Here is a 25,985-nt window from a genome sequence, read left to right as displayed (position 1 = left end):
AGGGACAGCTTCTGAGTGGCGATCCAATAGACACCGGCCATTCAACTGCAAGCCTAAAGCCCTTTTAAAATATGGGAAGACAGGATAGAAGCTGAAACTATCAAAACATGACCTAGAGATCATTGACAAATTTCTGATTTCCGTATTACTGCAGAGAGCTGCACACGCAAGGCTGAATATTTTCCATATTTAAGAAAGAAAGTCATAAGTAAGAATGGTACCTGCATATAACCTTTCAACTGCATAAAGCTCAGTTTAGGTCAGTTTGGGCAATAACCTATATTTAATGTCACTCAAAGACAGGTTAAATAAAGTATAACAAACTCAATGGCTCCAACACCAAGAAATCTGGTGAGGAAATGGTGTCCTTTGTTTGACTCCTGAAGGTAATCTGGCCCCTTCTGCAAATAGTAAATTATAATAATTAGGCATTTCTAAAACTAACATTTTTAATGACCAGGCCTGCACTGTCATAACAGTGCAGGTAACAAGCAAAGGCTAAGAGTCTTTACAACTGGCTATATTTTAGCAGTAACTGATACTTAATTTTGTTTACTTGCAACCATATTGTGGATAAAAACATGAAATAAAATAGCCTGTAGATGCAGATGTCTCTAGAATACTATACATTTTGTAAAAATATTGTAGAGGAACTGCTTTGTGTATTCATGACCCAAAGCATATGTTACTGGAATGGGATGTATTATTTCAAAACTGCCCTTAGCTCTTGCTTTGATGATAAGATTTTATGCCTGGGTAATTACACTTAGGAATCAAGATGAATTATAAATAAGAGGTATAATGGATTAGAGGCCATGGGTTGTGGAAAACACTTCAGGTACATTATTATGAGAGATAGGTCTTTATCTCTGTAATCTCTCTACTAAGATATTACTGCAATTACTGTCTGTAAATAGATGCTTAAGTGAAAGTCATGGGACGGTGAAGCCACTAATGCAGATGACAATTTGTACATATTCTTAGTTTTTCTTGATTTTCATTTATCATTTGTTTTATTTGTGCTCATTTACATTTTCATATAATGATGGAAAATGACTCAAATTAATGGGAAAGCATGTATTTGAATGTACTATTCAAAAAGTCTATCAATCATATGAAGAAAGGTTTTTAACATTTTAAATCCAGAATGGAAGGTTGGTTGCATGAAAATAATTTGCTATTCTACTAACATTTTTGTTCACAAGTGAACAGTATTATTTCAAATAAATGCAGAAAAATATAGCTGTAATAACCTTCTCTTCAAGATATCTAAAGGTCAACCTTGACTACTTACAGAATATTTTCTATAGCAAAATAATATTGCAGAATCAGAGAATTTTAGAACTTCAACTCAATCTGTCATTTTATAGATTGGATAGCTATATAATAACGAAGGTCTACAGCAATTAAGAGCATTGATCAAGTGCACACAGTTAAAAGTAAAACCAAACGCTACCTGGGATAAAGGAAATTCCATCTCTTGTCTAGAAAAATCTCACATTCTTTCTGTCCTCCATTTTAAAATCTTCAATGCTCACTGGAAAGGTCACTCATTTCATATGTGCCACACAGTCTCAGTTTTCACCCATACACTATGTGTACATATGTATATTGGAAAGAGCAGTGCTTACTGTATAAGCAGTGCTTACCAGTATAAGTTTACTAGTGTGTGTATAAATAGATGTAGGAAATACAATTTAATAAGGAGATGGATTACTTGATTATTTATTAGCTCAAAATGGACACATGTAAATAAATATTGCCCTTCAGAGAAGTCACAGGAAAGAGTAGAAAATCATTTTAAGCATGTGTCACAAAACAGTTGCAGTTATTTTATAAACTTTTTCCTTGAACTATATGGAATCCATGTGATGGTAACTAAGCTGAATGGCATGTCAGTTTGTAAAGGGATTTTCACACATACGTTTCCATTTAAATCAATCCTTAGGATGTATAGGTAAAAACCCAAGATTTAGCAAAAACAGAGCAAGTAACCTGTCCAAGTAGTGCAGCTAGGTAGGATTCACTGAAACCAAATTCCTTTTTCTTTTCATGATGCCATGTCCCTCTCAAGAAATGTATACTCATTATTTTTAAGTTGCACTTCAGTTTTGACCTAGTGGAATCATCTGTCTCATGTACCATACTTAATACAACTTCTCAAATCCTATTTACAAAATAAGATGTATAAAATTATTTATAACTGAATCAATACATGGGTATATAACTAGTGATTACATTAATAATAATATTAACCATCAAAACTTACATCATCTACACACCAGGTGCTGTGATGAATCCTTAACATTAACAGCTCATTTAGTCTTCATAAGACTCAGGCTGTAGGTGAGGGAGATTTAATAATATCTAACTGGTATGCTGTGAGCACCAGCCAGCCTGACTAATGAGAAAGAATCCCAGCTGTAGGGCTGGAGCAGTCCTGGAGGCCCCATGCATGCCAGGCTTCAGACTGTGGGGTCTGCGGGAGAGGTGAAAGTGTAGTGGTAGTTACTCAGGGACTTGGTGTTTACCTGCTAAAGCCTAAAGAGGTGTAGCACCCAGTGCAGGGTCTCAGGCTTACTGTATGGTGAAGTCGAGATTCAAACCCAGGCCAGTTTCTCATCTATTCATTCCACCTCCCTTAAGTCGTACTGTTCCTATTAATATTTCACAATTATAGAAATTAGATCCTAAGAAATTTGACAATCTTGAAGGCAGACAAGAGAATATCTCAGCAAGTTTATTGAAAAGCAGTTTTAAAATTACTTTTAAAATGTAAAAAAAAAAGATAGTTTTATAACTGTAATGACTCATAGCAGCACTGTTGGAACAAAGATATGTTTCCCTGAGAAGCTTATGTTAAAGGGAACAGCCTGCTATTTAGTGTACAAGTTTTGTCGTGTTCTATATAAAAATATTTTCAAAACCCAGTATAATCCTATCTCCTAATCATTGCAGTTTAAATGTCTCTAACTCTTCAGAAGTGGTCCAAGAAAATAGATCAGCTATAATAAATAGGCTTATTAAAACATTCTTAATTCCTGATTGTTAAATATTTTCACAAATCTTTAAATTTTTGATCAACTATTTCCCTTCAGGTATGATTTGTACTAAATATCAATAACATTATCCTCTTGCCACTGTGTCTCACACTGTGAGTGGAAGATTAAATAAAATAGATTAAGAATATGTATGCAGTAAAGGTACTTCTGGGAGTATTTCCATTTAGCTCCTGAAGTGACTTGAGATTAAGCAGGTTAGTAGGAGGTAGCTTACCTCACAGGACAGGCCAGAATAGCCCAGGGGACAATCACATTTTTCAATCAAGTCAGCTGGAGGAGTCATTGTTGTTCCACGTCCTTGTTCAGCTACCTCCATTGAGATTTCAGAAATCCTAGAAACAGCGAGAATGTACTTAGATTACTATGACAGTCAGTTAAGATCACCTAGTAAACAATCAATCCTACAGCAATATCCTTCTCACGTTTTTGTCAACCTCAAGTATGTTCTATTGTCTTTTTGTTTTTAATTGACAAATAATAATTGTACATAAGTTGACCCTTGAACAATATGGGCTTGAACTGCATGGGTTCACTTGTACGGGGATTTTCTTCCACGTCTGCTACCCAGAGATAGCAGGACCAATCCCTCCTCTTCTTCCTCCTCCTCTTTAGTCTGCTCAAAATGAAGACAACGAGGATGAAGACCTTTACAATGATCCACTTCCACTTAATATATTTGCTCTTCCTATTCTTTTCTTTTTTTTTTTCTTTTTATTTATTTATTTATTTATTTATTTGAGACAGAGTCTCACTCTGTCACCCAGGCTGGAGTGTAGTGGCATAATCTTGGCTCACTACAACCTCCGCCTACCAGGTTCAAGTGATTCTCCTGCCTCAGCCTCCTGAGTAGCTGGGATTACAGGTGTGCAACACCACGCCCAGCTAATTATTGTATTTTTAGTAGAAACTGGGTTTCATCATGTTGGCCAGGCTGGTCTTGAACTGTTGACCTCAAGTGATCTGCCTGCTTTGGCCTCCCGAAGTGCTGGGATTACAGGCATGAGCCACTGAGCCCAGCCCTTATTACTTTCTTAATAACATTTTCTTTTCTCTAGCTCACTTTATTATAAGAATACAATATATAATACCCACACAAATATATGTTAATCTACTATGTTATCAGTATGGCTTCTGTTCAACAGGAGGCTATTAGTAGTTAAGTTTTGAAGGTATCAAAAGTTATATGTGGATTTCTGACTGCATGAGGTGGGGTTGATGCTCCTAACCACCATGTTGTTCAAGGGTCAACTATATTTATTTAAACAATGTGATATTTTGATACATAGATAAGTTGTGGGATGATTAAATCAAGATAATTAACATTGTTTTGAAGCTGTTTAAATTTCTGGGGCTCATGTACCAAATCCTAATATTGCATTTTTGCTTCCTCAAATGTTAAGAGTACATATTAGCAAAATATTCACATAAATCATAAGAAGTTTAGTATATTGGATGTCTGATATCCTGTTGAAAAGTTATTATAAAGATATTCCCCCCACTTTTTAAAATGTGAGTGGCTTCAGGTAGACACGGCCAATTAATTAGACATTTATATTCTTGCAAACAGACAACCCAAGGTCATTCCCCATTCAATTATTTCGTACAGGCACTGGTGAAATTGCTTTGAATTTACTACTATCCCAAATTTCTTCTTCCCAATGCTCTGAATGACCTTTCAGGAACTTTAGAAAACCACCTAGAAAATAATGATCACGCATAATCTAATAATATTGATTTCTTTCTGAGGATAATGTTTCAAAATAATATTTTCTTAACTTTATTAAATAATTCCTTCAAGTAACTTAACTCACCTTTTCTGATGGTGAAATAGTCATTATAATTGAAAAGAAAATCATAATTGAAAATAACATATTAATACCCTTTTCATTAAAAAATAAATGTAGTCCATAAACTGGGACTATTTTATGATGGACTAACTGGTAACACAAACATGTTTGGGAAATAAACTTTAAAATGTGACAATGAATAGTTTTGCTTCAAATAAAAGTTACCTCCAGGAGTTTAAGGAGTTTGAGTCATAAACTTTATAACAAGCATAGGTAGGTTTTATTGAAACTGAATTATGAATGCATGTTCTTTGCTAGCATTGTAATCTGCACTCTGAAGATTGGTCTTGATGAAACACACATTCAATTAAAATTCAGGTTTCACTCTCTGCTCCCTGTAAGTACACACAGTGGTGGTGAGCTGTAAGCAAACCACTCCCCTTCTGCAAGAAAAACTTCTCCCTTATGTTCTCTGGGCTCTCTGTGGGAGTAAGAAGGTAACTTTGCATTGGCATCTCCATGGAATTTTATAGCCCGAGGAGCTACTGGCTTCATTCTCCTTTCTCTTGCACATGAATGCACATAACAGACCCGCAAGTGTTTACAAATCAAGTGAAGCTTGAATGGCAGCAACAACAAATATTTCTGCAATACACCATTTTTTTTTTCAGGGGATTAGAGAGCAATGGCTTTGATTGCATCAGGGATTTGGCCAAACTCCAGCTTCCATTTAAATAACTACTGAAATGCAAAAGTTGCTATTTCCTTAAATTAAACTTTATAAAAGGAAACAAAAGCAAAGAAAAAAGATAATGCCAGCACTGATACAATGTACAAAGTTCAAACCTCAAACAGAATATAAACTCTTAAACTCTCTGCTTTTGAGATTTAAATTTATAATTGAATAAATAAAGATACAAGGTTATTTTAATTACTTTAGGGGGACTATTCAAACCTTTTAAAAACCTTTGCCACAATTCCACTGCCTTACAAAATCAAATGCTGATGACAGCTTTATTTGTTCTTAGCATTGTGAGACTATGACCCCAGTTTTTACTGAGATTAGGAAAAATGTATTCTAAAGTTTCAAAAAAACGGTCACTTAAACCAAAAGATCTCATTTGGTGAGGTATGTAAAACAGTGTGACAAAAGAAAAAGACATAGGGCGGGAAAAAAAAAAAAGACAAAGTGTCACAGTGTAGGAAGGTGAAATTGGTGTGAGAGAAGCAAAGAAAGTATAATTAAAGATGAATGACAATATTGTTTCTATCAGTTCCACTAACAAGATGTTCTGTTTACTACCAAACTCTTTTACTGCAGTACAGAACCATTTGCAAAATAATCTATTTGCAAACTCACGAAATTACCTGCTATTTTCTAAGACATGCAAATCTGCTATGGCTTCTGCCACCTAATTTACATGTGATATTCTAAAATAATTAACAGTATAGATAACAGCGTTTTTTAAGTATATTTTTTTTATTATTTCATATAAAAATAATCTCCTGTTATAGTGAGAAATATCAAAAGGAAACCCAAGGAATACATATATAAAAGTGAATTTTGGTCCTTAATTTACTCTTTTACTAAAAGTCTCTACATCAATCAGAAAAGCATTATGGATCTTCTGCATGAAATAAAAGGTTTTCTGCTGTCTTGTGTGCTTATTCCAGTATAAACATTTGAAAAATAGTATTTTTATATTCATTAGTTGGCCATTGAGAGACTTCATAATTTTTCTGTTTTGCTTTCCTAGGCAGGTCTAATAATTTATTATATAAGACTATTTACAAACATATATCGATTCTATATTCTCATAGAATGTAACAGAGACTGACATGAAAGAGAAATTGAGGTCTCCTATATGAACTCAGTTCAACTTTCTGCCTCCATGGTATGAAACTTACCTAAATCTGTATGATTTCTCATTTTATCCCATTGGATAAGGTGAACCGTCTACTCAAAGAATATGACCATGAGGGTCCATGATGTGGAAGTCTCCTGGTTCCTCTATTAGTTATTCTCTCTTTATTTTATATTTCAATATTTTCCTCATTACTAATCCATTCCCATGTTCTGTAAACATACTCTTTCAAATTAAACAATCATCTTTTTACTTTTGACAATATGTTATTCCTTCTTTTTACAATTATATTCATGGAAAATAATAGTTTACACTCATAATATTGGGCTCATGTGTCACATTCTTTCTTTAAAAGCTTGAGATTAATTCTGCCCCAGGACACTGAGACCGGTATCATGAATGTTACCAGTGTGGTCCTAAGTGTCAGACCCAACAAGCCTCATTTCAGTTGGCCAATTTTGGTCATAAGAAAACACGGAATACTCCCTTGAAGTATTCCCATCATGTAGGTTCGACAACATTGCATTCATTCTTGCTGTTCTGTGTGATTTTTTTCAAAGTGATTCAGAATCATTTCTCAACATGATGCATAGGGAAAATGACAACATTGTATGGCACACTGGGGTGAACAGATTAGAATGCTCACAGTTGGAGGAGACTGGACCAACTTGGCCCTGCCTGGTTCCCCTGATGGGTGAAGAGGTCACTTTCTCAGCACTTTTATAATCCATTTATACCACAACAGTTAATTTTACCTGATCTACAGTATATGATCTCTTGAATTTATGACTGGCATCTTAAACTCACTATGTCTGCAGTGAATTCCATATTTTTTTTTCCCTTTAACGTGTTTCTCATGCTATTTTTCTTTTCTGATGAATGGTAGTAGCTTCTTCCAGGTCACAGGGAAGCCTCCATGGTTTATCTTCTATCATTATACTGCAAAACCAATCACTTTCCAATCTTTCTTATCTGATATCTGTAGGTCAATAACCTTCCTTACAGACTCTAAAATAAGAGCTTGAATATTTTCTATTAGAGTTTACCTGCTTTGTCGCATGAAATTTCCATAAGTAGCTTTGATAAGAATGTAATGAATATCATATAGTATATCCAAGAAGTCTTCTCGGGTCACAGTTCTATGGACTCGAGGATCATCCCCATAATATTTCCATTCTTTCTGTTAACAAGAAGAGAAATCACTATGACAAAACTGAATGCAAAACCATTGATTGGTATCTTTGCACCAAACAATGACTAACTTTACCTCTGTCATTTCAATTTCATGCCTTGTCAATTGGCCAATCAGAGGAGCAGCCATATGCCTGACGATAATTCTAGCATGAGTAGGTGTCCCACCTCGAATGATCACTTGAGGATTATATGTAGAGAAACCTGTTTCTTCCCGAGCCTCGAAATAGATTGCATACTTGAGTTTGCCCCCATAGGCCATCAACTGACAAAATAAAAAGAAGAATGAGGAATTGGATAAATCTCCAAATGGTGTGATTCTAAAAAGATTTTATCTTGTTCTCACTTGACATTAAAGTTCTTGTGCTTACCTTCTTTCCTTCAAATTGTTCTGGAAGTTTCCAATAAAAAGGTTCCAAATGGAGATCTTCTCTCATCAGGTCCATGTGGGCAACAATCTCTGGATGTTGAAAAACAATGCCCTTGGTGGTCGTGTGCTGCAGAGCCTCATCTACCAGGGGTAGAATGGTCTGCTCAGCCTTCAGAGTCACCTGCAAGGGGTCAAAATACAGCAGAAGGCTGAATTTACGCTTTGGACATTTCTTTAAAACTAAGTTACGAACTGCATGTCTATCTGCAGTTCCTATACCCATTCTGATGATGTTCTCACAAGCAACAGAACTCACACGCAGTGGGCAAGCATGGCAGGACGTAAATCTTTTTGACTAATTCACATAGTGAAAGCCACAATATCTGTGGACACTGGAGCCTTTCACACTAACACAAATTGAATCTAAATGTAGAAAGAGTTAAAGGAAAATGAAAAATGAACATGTTTTCACTCCAAAAATCATGATTGCCTAAGGTTGGTTGGAATGAATGTGTGACAAGTCCTGGTTCTCATTGGTGTGTTAGCTCATATCAACATTCATGCTCTGGTGCCCTCACTCTTCCCATCTCAAAACATAATGCTTCCCGGACAAGGTTCCTCTTTTTCACTTGGCATCTATTTCCTTATCAATAAGTGAACTACTTTTAAGAACAAATAAGAAAGGCATTTACTCCAACTCTCTAATGGCACGTGACCCCTTTGCTGTTCCTAAATGTTCACAGAGGAAAAGGTTACTTAAATGTTTTGCCATTTTCTACTACCCCTCAGTGCCTGACTAAAAGACACCAGCAGGAACTAACATTATACCATTACATGGCTCAGCAGTTCCCTACTCACCCACGTCCGGATCAGTCCTTTTGCTTCAGAGCACTGGGTAGTAGTGCCGAAGCAATAGCAGCTGCTGCAGCCAAGTGGATTCTTGGCATCGAGTCCGAATTTGCCAGGCCGGCATCTGTCACAGTGGATGCCTTCCACATTCACCTGAGGAAAGACAAGAGACCCTCAGAGTTTATAACGGCAAAGTTAGGGGAGAAATCACCCTGAGAATGCATAACGGGAGCATACTCTTTTTAAAAAATTTAAAACAAAACAGAAGAACACTGAGTATTAGACTCACATCTCAAATGGCACATGTAGTTAACCTCATTGTTAGGAGTTCATGGATCTTTTAAAAATGCTTTATTTTTAAATAGATATAAGACTAAAGGTATTGTACTTTTTTTTTTTTTTTTTTTTTGAGACGGAGTCTCGCTCTTTCGCCCAGGCCAGAGTGCAGTGGCGCTATCTCTGCTCACTGCAAGCTCCGCCTCCCAGGTTCACACCATTCTCCGGCCTCAGCCTTCCGAGTAGATGGGACTACAGGCGCCCGCCACCGCGCCCAGCTAATTTTTGTATTTTTAGTAGAGACGGGGTTTCACCGTGTTAGCCAGGATTGTCTCGATCTCCTGACCTCGTGATCCGCCCGCCTCGGCCTCCCAAAGTGGTGGGATTACAGGCGTGAGCCACCACGCCCGGCCTGTACATTGTTTCTTAAATGTAAGTGGTACATTTTCTACAGTTCTGCTCTGAGCAATATGAAAGACTCATGAAAATTTCAAAAGCAACATAAAAACATTGAGTCTTAAACAGTGGTGCTATTGTAAGCTGTAAGAAATAGGCAGCAGGTTAAAATATCAATTTATATAATTATTGTAATATATATACACACATAACATGTATTAAATATATGATCATAATTGCGAGATATAAGAATGCAGCATTGTACTCGGTATTGGCCGAAGCCCTTGATGGTAGAAACTGCCATTTTCCTCAATTCTCAAGGCCATTTTAACAACCACTACCCAGATTTTATCTTCCTGTTTCCTCTGTCCCTTTTTGCATAGATTTTATCTTGAAAAGATACCTCTGACACAGTTTAAACTGCATTTATCCTGGAATTGATTTTTCAGAACTATCTGAGGGGAAAAATCCTTTTTACCTTTTTAATTGGCTCTTTTTCTACATCATTTAACCATATTAATGAGGGCTGAAATTTGCACATAGTCACTGTTTGTAATGACAGCGTTTATATGTGTTGAAATTTTACTAAACTTCCACAGCAGTAAATATATTTTCTAGTATACAGCGATTGCAGATTAATTTTTGGAGAAATGGTTTTTATAAGCCTTATTATTTAGCTGTGATTTTCTCTGATGATGCTTAAAAGAACTGTCTTCCCTGCCACCCCTCCCAGATTGTCCTTATCGAAGCAAATCTAATATATTTTTTAAAAAATCACTATACCATTGAAAATAGATCATCTCCACCAACTAGAAAAAAAGGTGGGTTTGGGTTGAAAATAAGCTCTAGAAAAGCAGTGTTTATCGGTATGCCAACAAATGCATATCAATGAAAACTCCATGTCTGGCAATGAGATTTTGTCCATCTGTTTGTTTAGCTTAATGAAGCAGGTATAACAAACACTGAATGAAGTTAAAACTGAGCAATGGAAACAGAATTGAGGGAGGTTTTCCCTAGCTGCATGTCAGCAGCACATACCTTACAAGTGCACTGCCCAGTTTGATCACTACAGGAGCATTTTTTAGTCTCTGAATCACAGGTTGTGGCATCTGTCCCAGGGAGGAAGCAGTCACAGAGATTGCAGCGAGGGTAGTTCCAGTGACCTCGACTGCACTCTGTACATTTTGCACCAGAGAATTTTGGATGACAGTTGCATTGGCCTGTATTTACATTGCATTGGAAATCCAAGGATCCCACTGTGCTGCAGTTACAAGCCTATAGAGGAGATAAAAACAGCAACCATTAACACAACTTTATGGGAAATATCTTAAAATTTTAATTCTAATGTTTCTATGCTTCCATTAAACACATATTAATCATGTATCTGTTATAGGCTTTGTACTATTCTAGTTTAGTCACTTGGGAAACATCAGTGAACATAAACATTAAAATTGCTTCCTGCATTTATGGAAATATATGATCGTCCAGAAACCATAATGCTATGTGAATTAGAAAGAAAATGTGTCTTCTCTCTTTCTGAGGTAGAGAGGGGCTGGGTATGGGTTTTTTCCAACTGCTTTGTCTCAAAGATTAAATTTTAGACAAAGTTATTTTACCTTATTATCTCATAATTGTAGCATTTAAACATTTATTTGGAGACATACCTTACGGTCTAGTAGAGGGAGACAAGTAAATATGTTAGCATAACATGATAGAATAAGCATTATATAATAGGAGAAGTCCAAAATGCTATGTGAACATACAAAGGGCATCAGACTAGACTTGGGGAATCCAAGGAGAGCTTGAAGAGAAGTAACATCTAGTATATTGTTTTTTGGCATTTATTCTTGCATACAATTCTGATTTGAGGTCTCTGTTAGTAACGTTTTTCTTCGCCCAAGATGTATACACGATTTTCTCTTTATTTACATAATTCATATTTTTGCTAGAATTTTCTGAAGCTTGGGTTTGTTTTTTTTTTTTCCATCAACTTACTGGAACATAGTTCTTTCAGTTTGGGAACATAATTGTGTTTTGATTCAGTACTGTTTCTTCTTCAGATTTGTTTTTGATTTTTACATCTGTTCTAATTAATCAATTTTCTTTTTCAGGATCATCTATAATTCTTAAAGTACATCACTCTGTTCTCTCTGCCAAATCTATAATATCCTAATGTCTTCTGCAATCATTTTCCTTTGTTTTACATTTCTTGCTGTATTTACCTCTCAAATTGGTATCCTACTTTCACAGCTCCTGTTTTACAGGAAAAGTTTTATTGTATACACATACCACCAATGCTTATTTTCATTACCCTATTGCAATCTTAACTTCTTTTGAATAATTTTATTTCTCTCATCTTTAATTTCTGCTTATCCATTTGTCTTTTTGTCTTACATTATCCTTTTAAAGGTTTCTGCTCTTGATTTACAGAGCTCATATCTTCTTGCAATTTAATAAAAATGCCAAGTGAATTTCTAAAATGTCATTTAGGATCTTGGAATAAGTCATTTCAGGGACCAGCTGTGCCAATTATACATCTACTGTTTCTGAGCTCCAAATTCACCCTGCTTTGTGATACAGTAGGTAGACCCCGTAGACATTTCTCCGTATCCGGTGGCAGAATGATAGGCTTAGTCAATAGAGGCCTTGGAAGGACCCAATAAGTCCATAATGGCGGCCCACCACACTTCCAAGCTGAGTTCTGGTTCTTCATTAGGCCGGGCGCGGTGGCTCATGCCTGTAATCCCAGCACTTTGGGAGGCCGAGGAGGGCGGATCACAAGGTCAGGAGATTGAGACCGTCCTGGCTAACATGGTGAAACCCTGTCTCTATTAAAAACACAAAAAATTAGCCGGGCGTGGTGGCGGACGCCTGTAGTCCCAGCTACTCCTGAGGCTGAGGCAGGAGAATGGCGTGAACCCAGGAGGTGCAGCTTGCAGTGAGCCGAGATCGCGCCACTGCACTCCAGCCTAGGCGACAGAGCAAGGCTCTGTCTAAAAAAAAAAAAAGAATCTTCATCATTATTTTTGTATTATTTAGCACGGGAGCCCAGTGGCCCAGAAAGAATCCCAGGTGTGCCTTTAGTTGGGAGGGCACATTGTCTCTCCATAGGCACCCTTCTGACTAGCTTTGGTCTGCACACACGCTCTGACCTTGAAGTCGGCTTCTCAGTAGCCCAGCGTGCTCCTATCCTCCAAGAACGGTGGGCAGCTTCTACAGACATGCATTTGCCTACAAACTCCGACGTGTTTGTTTTTGGTTTTGTTTGACCATCCATAGGCTGTACATTCCTATGACAGCAACGCCCTCTTGAAAGATTTCTGAACCTCAGCTTTGCTGCAAGTGGGGAGAAGGAGCATGCCCTCTCTTAGCCCTTAACTCCTTCACTGTCTTTCCTCCCTCAGCCTAGAGGGAGTAGCTGCTCTTCTGTACCTGTACTCGGGACACCTTATAGCTTTCTTTTATCCTTTTTTAGTAACCAACCACCTTTTACCAGTTAACAATTCCATTTCACTGTTTAAAAAACCAGTGTAGTTTCTGTCTCCCAAGCAGAGCATGACTTGGCATTACAAAGGGTATCACCTCTCTCTGTCTGAGTTTGCCACCATATGGTGTATGCACTTTGTGACTTAACTCTTTTTGGTGCTGTTCTATTATCCTTCTCAGATCTACAGCCCAGTGGTAAAGTCATATGCATAGCACCTGGCCAAACTCCTAGATCCAAGTCTGGCTGCATCTCACTGTGTATCTCACACTTTCCCTCCTCAGCTTAATTCTTATATCCACCATTACCAGGAGTATTATGTTTCTGTTCCTGCTAACAGTAGTTTGCTTATGAGATTATCATTTCCAAGATCACCAGTTCCTCCTCTATTGTCTTTCATGCCCAAATATTTGGTTAAAAATCTTCCCAGATTCTGTTATTAAAATGATTATCGGCCGGGCGCGGTGGCTCACGCCTGTAATCCCAGCACTTTGGGAGGCCGAGGCGGGCGGATCACGAGGTCAGGAGATCGAGACCATCCTGGCTAACACGGTGAAACCCCGTCTCTACTAAAAATACAAAAAATTAGCCGGGCGTGGTAGCGGGCGCCTGTAGTCCCAGCTACTCGGGAGGCTGAGGCAGGAGAATGGCGTGAACCCGGGAGGCGGAGCTTGCAGTGAGCCGAGATCGCGCCACTGCACTCCAGCCTGGGTGACAGAGCGAGACTCCGTCTCAAAAAAAAAAAAAAATGATTATCAGGATTAGCTTTATTTCTTGTCTTTATAGGTAAGTATTTTTCTATCTAATTATTGCTAATCAGTAGAAAGGCTGCAATAAGGGCGGCTTCTAGAAGATATTTTAAACCCAAAGATCTAAAATGTGATTATTTGTATATTATAAATATGGACAAAGCTTCCAAGGCATAGAATAACCCACTAACCTCACCGCCAAGTAACTTAAAGAACATCAGATGTAGAATCAAATTTCAAAATTAGGATGTCTTACATATTCACTTACATAGTTTTTCTTTGCCAACTGCTTTGAGTATGTATTAACTCACTTAAACAAAATAGGCCATAATCGGGTATTAATAGAAAATCATGTTATCAAAACTATAATCAAATAATAAATTTAAATTATCCTGTGAGGCATCTTTATCTTTAACTAAAATATGAAGTTATCCAAATAATTGTATAAAACCAAAGCATGAATTTTTACAAAATTGTTGACAGTACAAATAGACATTGGGACCTTTCCAAATCAGGAAGTTTATTCAGGAAGTTATAGTGGAGAATAAACCAGACCATTAACCATGTGTTTAGATAGCACTATGGCCATCATCAAATTTAAATCATAAATAGAGGTAATATTTGTTTAGCAATAGAGAATTTACTCACTATTCCCCTGCTAGTGAAAGAAGGCAGGCTTCGTATTCTACTTCAATAACAGCCCAAATGATGTGTATGCTCACACCTTAGCACAGAGAAATTATCCATGACACAAAGAAAGGGAAGCTATAAATCTCAAATCACTGTTCATTTAAATTAAAGTCATCCCAGTTTTAAAAACAGTAAAACACATGCTCATAAATAAATTACTTGAGAGGTCTCTGATACAGTTGGATATGTCCCCACTAATTCTCGTGTTAAAATATAATCCCCAGTGTTGGAGGTGGAGCCTGGTGGGAGGTGTTTGGATCATGGGGGCTGATCCCTCAGGGCTTGGTGCTGTCCTTGTGACCATGAGTTCCTACCGGCAAGATCTGGTTGTTTAAATGCATGGCATCCCTGCTTTTCTCCTGATCCTGCCATGTGGAAGTCTGTCCTTGCTTGGCCTTCCATCATGACTGGAAGCTTCCTGAGGCCTTCACCAGAAACAGATGCCGCTATGCTTCCTGTACACCCTCCAGAACTGTGAGCCCATTAAACCAGTTTTCTTATAATCAGTCTCAGGTATTTCTTTATAGCAATGCAAGAATTGTCTGATACAGGCTCTATGAGTTTTGTTTTTTTTTGTAATTCTTCATAATGGTGAAGTATTTCTCGATTCAGAAGTCTAGACTTTTGATGGTGATTTTAAAGTAATCAAAAAATTCAGTCAACTTTAGTCAACAGAGTAATTATCTAATGATCAGTAAAAATGATAGTACTAAACATATAACTACGTTTTCATAGAAACTTGGAATGTATTTTATCCTGATTTATATCTTGAACATGAGGTATCAACTTCAATTTCAAGAGTTTAATTAGAGTTTGGCTATATCATAGCATTCTGTGGATAAAACGGAACTCTTGTAAGTTTCCCTAGGGCTTACTCCTGAGTCCAAGTGATATGGTGGATGCTTGGATTTGAAGCTGAAAATGCAAAAGTCAGTCATAGACACTTATAGCATTGTTCATATTCATAAGAACACTTTGAAATTCTGAGGAGTTTTTGATTTCTTTCTAAAAATGTAGCTCTCTTGCATTTTAAACTTAATAATGCTATTGACAATAGAAAAATGAATGTCCTGTCCAGTTTTTATTTTTTCTAATCACATGTCTAATTGAAGTCAGACATCTGAACTTCCTTGAAGAATCATCAATATGCTTGTTTTCCTCTAGGTCAGCATATTCTAGACCAGGTTCAAATGTTTTATCATACATGTGAAGGTGGTTAGAGTCTATTATTTCATCTGTGCTAACTCAGCAGGAAAAAAAGTTTACATCTCTATAGGGTACTGCTATAGGGTCAAACAGGACCACACTTGGTCATCACGTTCCAATATTTCACAACCCAGTGGAATCAATTGGAACGACTCCCACTAACATAAAAAAATGCCCTTATTATTGCTCTTCAATTTAATGAACAACTTCAGCACTAATCCTACTTGACCTTTGTGTTGCATTAGGCACTGAAGAATATTCTTCTTTTGAACAGCCTCTTCTTAGTTTTTACAGTATTTATTCTTCTTTGTTAAGCTGTTAAAGTACACAACCAACTAAAATAAAAATACAAACCAAGAAACAATTGTTTTTAGATATTGAATTATAGGAAGCACAGGACTGTGATTTCTGAGAGAAGGAAAAAAACATGAAGCAGTGTACAGAGGCAATTTCTAGGCTGCAACACAGAGAGGGTAAACCCAAAGCCCGCATTATAGCTGAGTTGAGAGACAAAGAGTGGAGTTTGAGGAAGCCGAGGCTGCTGAAACTTATGATGGCAAATAGAATACGTGTTCAAAAAGAAAGAAGTTAGATAGAAAGGTAATTCCAGAGATGTGCAGAAGCGTTCTCTTGAGTCATTGACTGAATGCTGATAGGTGCATGCATGGGATGAAGGAAAATGGCATTGGAAAACCCTAGGCTGCAAAAATTCTTACAGCCCAGAGAAAGCTTGGAATAAGCCATATTTTCAACAGCCAGAGTAAAGAGACATAGTAACCAACTAGGTAGTATTCTCAGAAGTTTCACAGCTTAGTAGAAGGGCTTTCAGACTGTTCTGCTGCACCTTCCCTAACAAAACTCAAAAGCAAGCTTCAAAAGAATCCAAGTGACCCGTGACTACCTAAACTGTTTGCCAGCATAAAGTTCAACATTCTTTAAAGAAATACAATAAAATCCAATACACAACAATGAAAAGTATATAATGTCTGGCATCCAAATAAAAATTATCAGGCATGTAAAGAATCAAGAAAATATGACTCAGAAACAGGAGAAAAGTCAGTCAGTAGGAATAGTCCTGCAATAAAAAAGATGGAATTTGCAGATGACCATTTTAAAAATGCTAATGTTTATAAACATTATATTTTCAAGAATAAATGAAAAAATGTGAGTATAGTAGAGAAATAAAAGATATACAATGTCCAAAAGGAAATTTAAAAGATAAAAAAATACAATGTTTAAAATAAAAAATAGACTCAATTGGATTAAAAACAGGTTAGGCTGCATTAAAAAATCAGTGACTTTGGACACTTAACAATAGAAACTATCAGAAATAAAAAATACAGATACAAAAATAATTAAAAAAATAAGAACCTCAGTGAGATGGGGGAAAATATCAATTGGCCCAACATACAAAAAATGATTTCCAGAAAGAGACAATAAGAATGAAGAACAAAAAAATATTTAAAGATATAATGGCTGACAACTTTCATTTCCAAATTTGATGAAAACTATAATCCTACAGGGCCAACAGATCTAACTAATCCCATGAAAAAATAATTATTAAACACACAAAAAGAAAACAAAAAGCATAATTAAATTGCTGCAAACCAGTATTTAGGATTACATACTCTGCAAAAACATCTTCGGAAAAAAAAAAAACACCTTTCTGGAACAAAAAAAAAAAAAAAAAAAAGGAAAAAATTATTGTCAGCAGACCTGAAACAACAGGAATAAAATGATAAAGATTAGGAAGTAGTTAATGGAAGAAGAAAAATGATATGAAATGAAAATTTTAATGTACACAAAGGAATTTAAAGCATTAAAATTGATATACACAAGGAAAAAGAGTTATAGGAGAAATTTTCTTGTTTAAAAAGATAATTGACTATTGAAATCAAAATCGTAAGCTTATATTGTCAGATGTATAATATATAGAAGTAAAAATATATGACAATATAGTACAAAGGATAGGAAAGGGGACTGGAGGTTTCCTGTTGTAAGGTTCTTACGCTAAATGTAAAGTGGTATAATATTATTTTAATGTACATTCTGGAAAGTTAAAGATGTATATTCCTAGACAAAACCAAAGAAATAAAATGAATAGGTATATTTAATAATCCAAAAGTCAAGAGAAGATGTTATACAAATTAATGCAAAAGAAGGCAGGACAATAAGGAAAAAAAAAAGGCAAGAGCAGATAAGGCAAGCAAAAGCAAATAGCAAAGTGCAGGCTTAATCCAATCATACCAATATTTACATTAAGTGGAAATGATTTAACTCCTCAAATTAAAAGGCCAAATTATTAAGATTCGTTGAAAAATAAAGATCTGAATATATGTTATTTACACACACACACACTCTCTCTCTCTGTCTCTCTCTCACACACACACACATTAAGCTAGGCATGGTGGTATACACCTGTAATCCCAGAATTTTGCAGGATCACTTGAGCACAGGACTTTGAGACAAGCATGGGCAATATAGTGAGATCTCATTTCTACAAAAAACTTAAAAATTAGCCAAGCATGGTGGCATGCGCCTGTAGTCCCAGCTACTCTGGAGGCTGAGGTGAGAGGATTTCTTGAGCCCAGAAGGTGGAGGGTGCAGTGAGCTGAGATCACACCACTGCACTCTAGCCTGGGCAATGGAGTAAGACCCTGTCTCAGAATAAAAAAAAAAAAGGCACACATTAAAATACTAAAAAGGGAGATGAAATAGATGATGGTGTGAAAAATATATACCACACAAACACCATTAAAAAGAAAGTTGCAATAGCTATATAAATATCAGAAAAAGTACACTTCTGAACAAGGAATGTTACTAGGAATAAAGAGAGACATTTCACAATGTCAAAAGGCACCAACTTTTCAAAAAGACATAGCAATCCTAAATGTTCATGCACCTAGTATCACTGCTCAAAAATACATGTGAATAAAACCTGAGAGAAGTGAAAGAAGAAACGGACAAAGTTATAGTCCAACACTCTCAGTAACTGAGAGAACATGTAGATCTAAAAACCGTTAAGGATAATTGACCTATATAGAAGTTTTCATCCAACAACTCCAGAATACACATTATTTTCAAGTGCACATGTTATAATAAACAAACTGAACACTATTCCGGGCCATAAAACAAATCTCAATAATTTTCAAAAGGTCTGAAATAATGCAGATTATGTTCTCAGAACAATTTAGAATTAAACTAGATACTAGTAACAGTAACGATACCTTGAAAATTCCCCAAATATTTAGAAACTAAACATTATCCCCAAAATAAATTAAAGATTATATTAAACCAAGTGAAAATTAAAACACAGCATATCAAAATATGTGGAGTGCAAACAAAGTAGTTTCTGGAAAAAAATGTATCAAATGCCCATATTAGAGAAAAAGGATTACAAATCAATGATCTAAGGTTTCACCTTAAGAAACTTGGAACACAATTGGCCGGGCACGGTGGCTCACGCCTGTAATCCTAGCATTTTGGGAGGCTGAGGCTGGCGGATCACGAGGTCAGGAGATCGAGACCATCCTGGCTAACGCGGTGAAACCCCGTCTCTACTAAAAATACAAAAAATTAGCCGGGCGTAGTGGCGGGCACCTGTAGTCCCAGCTACTCAGGAGGCTGAGGCAGGAGAATGGCGTGAACCCGGGAGGCGGAGCTGGCAGTGAGCCAAGATCTGCCACTGCACTCGAGCCTGGGGGTCAGAGCAAGACTCCGTCTCAAAAACAAAAAACAAAAAACAAAAAAACTTGGAACACAAGAGAAAATTAAACTCAAAGTAAGCAAAAGAAGGAATGTTCTTTTCATGCAAGTTATCACATTTATTAGGCAAAACTTGTTCCTATTACTACCATATTATTATCTTAATGTCTATAGGATCTATAGTGATGTCCCCCTTTTATTTGTGATTTTGATTGCTTGTTTCTTCTCTCTTTTTTCTTGATTAACCTTTCTAGAATATTACCAACTTTACTGATCTTTTCAAATAGTGAGCTTTTGGGTTCCTCTAAAGTATTTCTGTTTTCTACCTCATTGATTGTGAAAACGCTTTTATAAATTATGAGGAGGGAATACTTCTGAATCCATTTCATGAAGCTTGCAGTACCTCATCCCGACGACAACGCTACAAGAAAAATAAGTTCATACCAATATTTCTTATAAACGTAGATCCAAAATCATTAAGAAAATGCTAGCAAACAGGATTCAACATAATTTTAAAAGGATAATCCCCATGGCCAAGCAGGATTAATCTGAGGATTGTAAGACTGGATTGATATGTTGAAAATCAATCAGTATAATCTGTCATATTAACAGCTTAAAAAGAAATATCATATGGTCATCTCAATAGATGCAGAAAAGTCATTTAACAAAATTGAACACATATTCTTGATAAAAGCTCTTAGCAAACTAAAAACACGAGGGGGCATCCTCAAAACAATAAAAAGCACCTACAGGTAAAATATAGCCAACATCATTTTCAATTATAAAAGACAATGCTTTCCACTTAAACTAAGGAACAAGGCAAGGATATTTGCTTCCACCACTTCTAGTCAATAGTTTACTACAATAGGACAAGAAAATGCCACAGAAGTTACACAGATTAGAAAGGAAGTAAATCTCTCTTTGCAGATGACATGATTATCTACAAGAAAATCTCACTAAATGGACCAAAAAGAAACTAGAACTAATAAGTTTAGCAAGATTACAGTATAGAAGGATAAGGTATAAAAATAATTGTATTTTTCTATTCTAGTAACAAGCAATTTAAAACTGAAATGGAACACAGCATTTGCTTTTGATAAAAAATATGAAACGGATACATTTAACAATATATATGCAAAGCTTGCACATCAAAAACTACAAACATTTCTGAGAAAAAATTATAACAACCTAAAAAAATGCAGAGTTATGCCATGTTCATACACTGGGATATCTAATACTTTTAAGCTGTCAATTCTTCCCAAATTGATCTATCAATTCAATATAATTTCAGCCAAATCCTAGCAGGCTTTTTGGTAAAGAATTGACATGCTAAATTTAAAAGTTATGTGGAAATGTAAAGGAGCTAAAGTACTCAAAAGGTATTGGAAACGATGAATGAGGTTGAGGAATTTACAATACCTGATTTTATGACTTGCTGGAAAGCTACAATAATTAACATATTAACTAGTATTAACATAAGAATAGATCGGTGAAGCAGAAAAGAGTCCAGAAATGCATAAACATATATATAGTTGATAGATTTTGACAAAGGAGTCAAAGTAATTCAATGGGAAAAAGGATAGTCTTTTCAACAAATAATGTTTGAAAAATTGGGTATCCATAAAAAGTGAGCTCTGACCATTACCTGATATATAGAAAAATTAATATTCAAAATGGAATCCAAACCTACATTTAAGAGCTAAAACTCTAAAACTTCTTGAAGAAAACATGGGAGAGAAATCTTTGGACCTTGTCTTTCTTGGGTAGAACATAAAAAGTATGGACTATAGAAGAAAAAGATAATAAGCTAGTGTTTATAAAGATTAGATGATGAAACTAGGTAAAAAGCAATCTATATGAAAAGCAAGCTTTAACATACGTTAAAGAACATGTATCCAGAATATATAAATAATCCTTGCAATGCATTACTAAGGAAACAAACAACTCAAAATAGAAATGGGCATAAGCTTTGTAAACACTTCAAAAAAGATGTATAAATGACAAATAAATAAATGAAAGGATTCCCAACATTACTGGGCATTAAATAAATGCAAACAAGAGAAATACACATGCATCAGAATTCTTAAAATTAAAAAAGGGTTAAAAGTCCAAGAGTTGGCAAAGATGTGGAGTGTTCTTAAGAAAAAAAAGAGAAAACATTTGTCCATAAATATGCTTTTGACTTGTATGCTAATGTTCACAGCAAAATTGTAACCCCAAACTAGAAATGACCCAAACACCCATTAAATGGTAAACAGGTAAGCAAGTCACTGTACATTACACAAATGGAATATTATTAAGCAATTTTTAGAACAAACTGCTGATACATGCAACAATATGGATGAATTACAAAAACGTAACACCAAGTGAAGGAAGCCAAACAAAGAAACAAACAAACCCCCCCTCAAAAAAACAGACTACGATTCTATTTTTCAGAAGTTGTAGAAATTGGAAAATTATAATGCTAGAAGGCAAAACAGTAGGCACATGGGGGGTGATGGGGACTTCACTGCAATGGGGCACAAGGGATGATTACACCACTGTAATCATTGGTTAAAATTCATTACTATAAATGGGTGAATTTTATTTTATTAATACCTCACAAAAAGCTGATAAAAATGCAAAGTGATTATCTTTCCTTCCTGAACTTGCTCCTCCTCCTATAATTCCTATAGCTGCACATGGTACTTATTATCATCTACTCCATTGCAAAGCAAAACCTAGGAGTCATCCTAAGTCTTCTCTTTCTTATTCCCCAAATCAATGAATTCACCAGGCTGTATCAGCCTGAGTTCTAAAATGTAACTCGCGCCCTATATATCTTCACTGACGCTCATTGACTGGGTCCAGGCTTTTGGCATCTCTTATTAATATTTCTTCAACAGCCTTATAAATTGTTACCATCCCTGCTGATGCTAGATAGATCTCTCTGAACATGACTCTGGCCATGTCAATTTCTATGGTCTACCAATGGGAAAAAATGATTATTTTCCAAGCTAAATGTTGTTAAAATGACTCTTCAGAATGATCTCAACTACTTCCTGAAACCTAAAACCTAGTCATAATTCAGGGGCAATTTCTATAGATTTTTGGAAAATTAATTAGTTCCTCATATCCTCATACTTTGCACATGTATGTCCTTGTGCCTAGGTATGAGGTTATAGCTCTTTTCTGGTATTATTACAGAATTTTTGTTCTTTTTACCCCTCTTGTAGATTTCAAGTGTTCAGCTGCATAAATGTATATTTACTTCATCATCTTTCCTACAAGTAAACTGTAAGATATTGATTAATATCTGTAATCACATTATAGTAATACTTCTACATTATTTTGTGATGTAATATTGAATTTTGAAATGCCCAATTACAGAGCTCTACAAAACAAAAATCTCTCCAAAAAATTATCAGAGCAAAAAAGTGGTTCACTCACCTTACAACCAGTGGTAATGCTGTGGCCCCAGGTATTGGGTGCACATTTAGAACATTTCTCTCCAATGGTATTGGGAGGGCAAATGCATCGCCCAGTCTTTGGGTCACAATTATTACCCAGATGAGAACATTCACAAGCTTCACCGGTATAAGAGGGAAAACAAAGAAGGGGAAAAATAGTAAAAATTTGACACAAAGTGTTGAGTTTTATATTGTGTTGGTTTGTCTTATTTTCTTTTCAGTTCTACACTTAAGGATATTTGGAAATAAAAACTTACTTCATTCATCTTTTATATTATAGTACAATGTATTTCAGAAAGGAGCTGTTCAATAAATATAAGATGTATTTCATTTATTAATTTCAAAAGTTAAAGTATTTTTAGCTTTCCTATGAAGTTTAAGAAAGGAAAGAATTGGTGTTATCAGATTCCATGTTAACTGTAACACCTTATATTCGGGTACTACAAAGTTTACTATTTTGTTTGTATATTTATTTTAAGTTCATTTCTAATTTGTTTATGCTGTACGGATTAGTTTTTCCTTGATGAGCCCGATCTGCAGTAAAAACCAATAAGCTTAATAAGCTTCTTAAATTCGGTACATCATGTATATAGTTAGAAACGCACACAACAGAATAATCCAATTTTGCAAATACTTTAAAATGGTTGAATTATGGACACTGTTTATATATAAAGATACTTTCGATTTTTATTTACCACCTGACTTTTTTCTATAGATTTTTCATTTTTGTTGCTATCATGCAATATTCAAAGGGTACAAAGTTATCTACCTTTTGTACTTTTTCAAAGATTGCAAAAATAATGTTTGAGAATATCTTCAAAGCCATCCAAGACAAGGAATGCATGCCACATAGCGGCAGTTGACCCAGCTACTAAGAATATTTCTAGTGCAGCGTTTCATGTCAAAGAAATGTAAGTGAGGGAAGAAACCCAAATACTTGAATTCAAATGGAAGACTAATGTTATGAGTAAACTTTTAATTGGTTATATGATGACTAAATCATTTTCACTGAATATATTTAGAATATTTGACTAAATTCACTTTTTATGAAATGACAATATTCATTGCTCACAGCATTACACACCAGCTGTGGAAGGTGTTTAGAAAAATACTTTACACCGAGTAAACACTAAATAAATGTTAGTCATTGCTGTTTTGGTTATTACTGTTGTTGCTAATTTTAAGCCAAATGATTTATTTTAGATGTGTCCTTCATTAAGAAGAAAAATAGTTACCATTATGTTTAAATTTATATGCTAAAAAATGTCATGGGACAGTGCAAATCATTACTTGCAAATAGAAATTATCTTAAGTAGTTCTTCAGCGGAATCATAACACTAAATAGAAAGAAAACCTGAGTAATTAGCTAGTTTTCCTGTGCCAAAGCACAATGTATAACACAATTAATAAAACTAATAAAGATAATAATAATAATGATAAATGCTTCCATAGCACTTACATGCTAGGCATTACTCTAAATATTTTATAGCCGCTAACTCAACTAATTGTAACAAAAACCATGTGTGGTAGATACTATTATTATCTTAATTTAATAGATGAATTTTGCAGATGGAAAATGAAACAAAATTACTCAGTCAAGGTCCCAGAACTAGTTACTGAAGGAGCCATTTAGACAAATCCAGGCTATTTTGTGCAAGTCATGTCCTCAGTCATATTACTATTCTTCCTGTTTTGTGCTTTTTTTTTTCTATGGTGTTTCTTTGGGCCAGAATGCTAGTAGGTCTGCATTTATTAAATGCTGTCATCTTTCTATAATTTAAAATAATATTCTTGGTCTCATTTATAATTTGTTACTATATGTATTTAAATGTATAATACTACCTCATTAATTCATATTAAGTAAAAATGTCAGTGAGCTTTGGATTTAAAGAACAGAGTATATTTTAAAATACAGCTTTATAATTTTTAAGTTATACAGATATTGGCTTAGAGATATACAGATTCTTAGAGGATCTACAATTATAAACTTATCATTTAGAATAACTTATCAATTAGAATAACTTATCAATTAGAATAACTTATCATGGCTTAATTTATGGTAAAATCCACATATCTAAAGTGCTGGAGAATGTCTGAAAGATATTGGTTCTTTAAATAGTTTTAAATATTATTCCTACTGCTTCCTACTTAAATTTGCCACAACAGTGAATAACAATGTTTTAAAATCTTACCATGGTGCTGAGAGTATGTGAGCATTATCCAGGTTGAATCCATGACATTAGTAAACAAAGGTAATATTCAAACTAGTGATTGTTGGAATAAGGGTCAGTTCGAAATTAGCAGCATATAAATCAAGGCTAATGTTCACTCTTTACTTTCATCTGCAGAATGCTAAGTGATATTTTCTTAGCTCATGATTTGGGTGAAGGCTGTGGCTGGATGTATAAGAATACTGCTTGAGGGAATCATGGTTAGAAACCTCTGCCTGCATTTTTTGATGAACTAAATATCTAGAGCCAACCTATTTCTCTCTTAGAACATCATAGTTTTCAAGGCAGCCAAAAGTAGATGAAAAGATGTTTTTGGGGTACCAGGAAAAAAAAAACACCTTGACTTTTCTTGATCCGGATACCAATTTTGCAATAGGAAAAAGGGAAAGTTGAAATGCATTGGCGTGGGGTTTGAGCTTAAACTAAGATAAGACTGGTACCAGAAAAATCGAACATTTAACTTTCAAGCCGTAGCAGTGTTTGAGTGACTGGCTGAATCAAAGTCACAGACAGGGAGGGACACAACCAAACGAGCATCTGCTGATTTTTACTGAGTACTTGCACACAGTTATTAAGGCAGTGTTTCAAACTGACATGTATTTCATTTTTTAAGTAACGTAAAAATAAGTAGACATTACTCATTATGTTAAATACGTTGTATCAATCTGTGCTTCC

At 35.4% G+C, this 25,985-nt stretch overlaps 1 protein-coding gene across 2 annotated transcripts in view; it reads right to left on the bottom strand.

The window, feature by feature from the left end:
• The window catches only part of LAMA2 (laminin subunit alpha 2), a 633,429-nt gene that overhangs the window by 192,635 nt on the left and 414,809 nt on the right, over window positions 1-25,985 (bottom strand). For both annotated transcript variants that reach the window (NM_000426.4, NM_001079823.2), the window contains exons 22-28: window positions 23,060-23,196; window positions 10,835-11,071; window positions 9,134-9,277; window positions 8,277-8,456; window positions 7,982-8,170; window positions 7,761-7,894; window positions 3,277-3,394 (exon numbers count right to left, since the gene is read on the bottom strand). In NM_000426.4, coding sequence (NP_000417.3) covers window positions 3,277-3,394; window positions 7,761-7,894; window positions 7,982-8,170; window positions 8,277-8,456; window positions 9,134-9,277; window positions 10,835-11,071; window positions 23,060-23,196 — 1,139 coding nt within the window. The remainder of the gene's footprint in view (window positions 1-3,276; window positions 3,395-7,760; window positions 7,895-7,981; window positions 8,171-8,276; window positions 8,457-9,133; window positions 9,278-10,834; window positions 11,072-23,059; window positions 23,197-25,985) is intronic.

This window comes from Homo sapiens, chromosome 6 (assembly GCF_000001405.40).
Source record: "Homo sapiens chromosome 6, GRCh38.p14 Primary Assembly".
Taxonomy (NCBI): Eukaryota; Metazoa; Chordata; class Mammalia; order Primates; family Hominidae; genus Homo; species Homo sapiens.
This window is presented reverse-complemented; position numbering and strand designations above follow the sequence as displayed.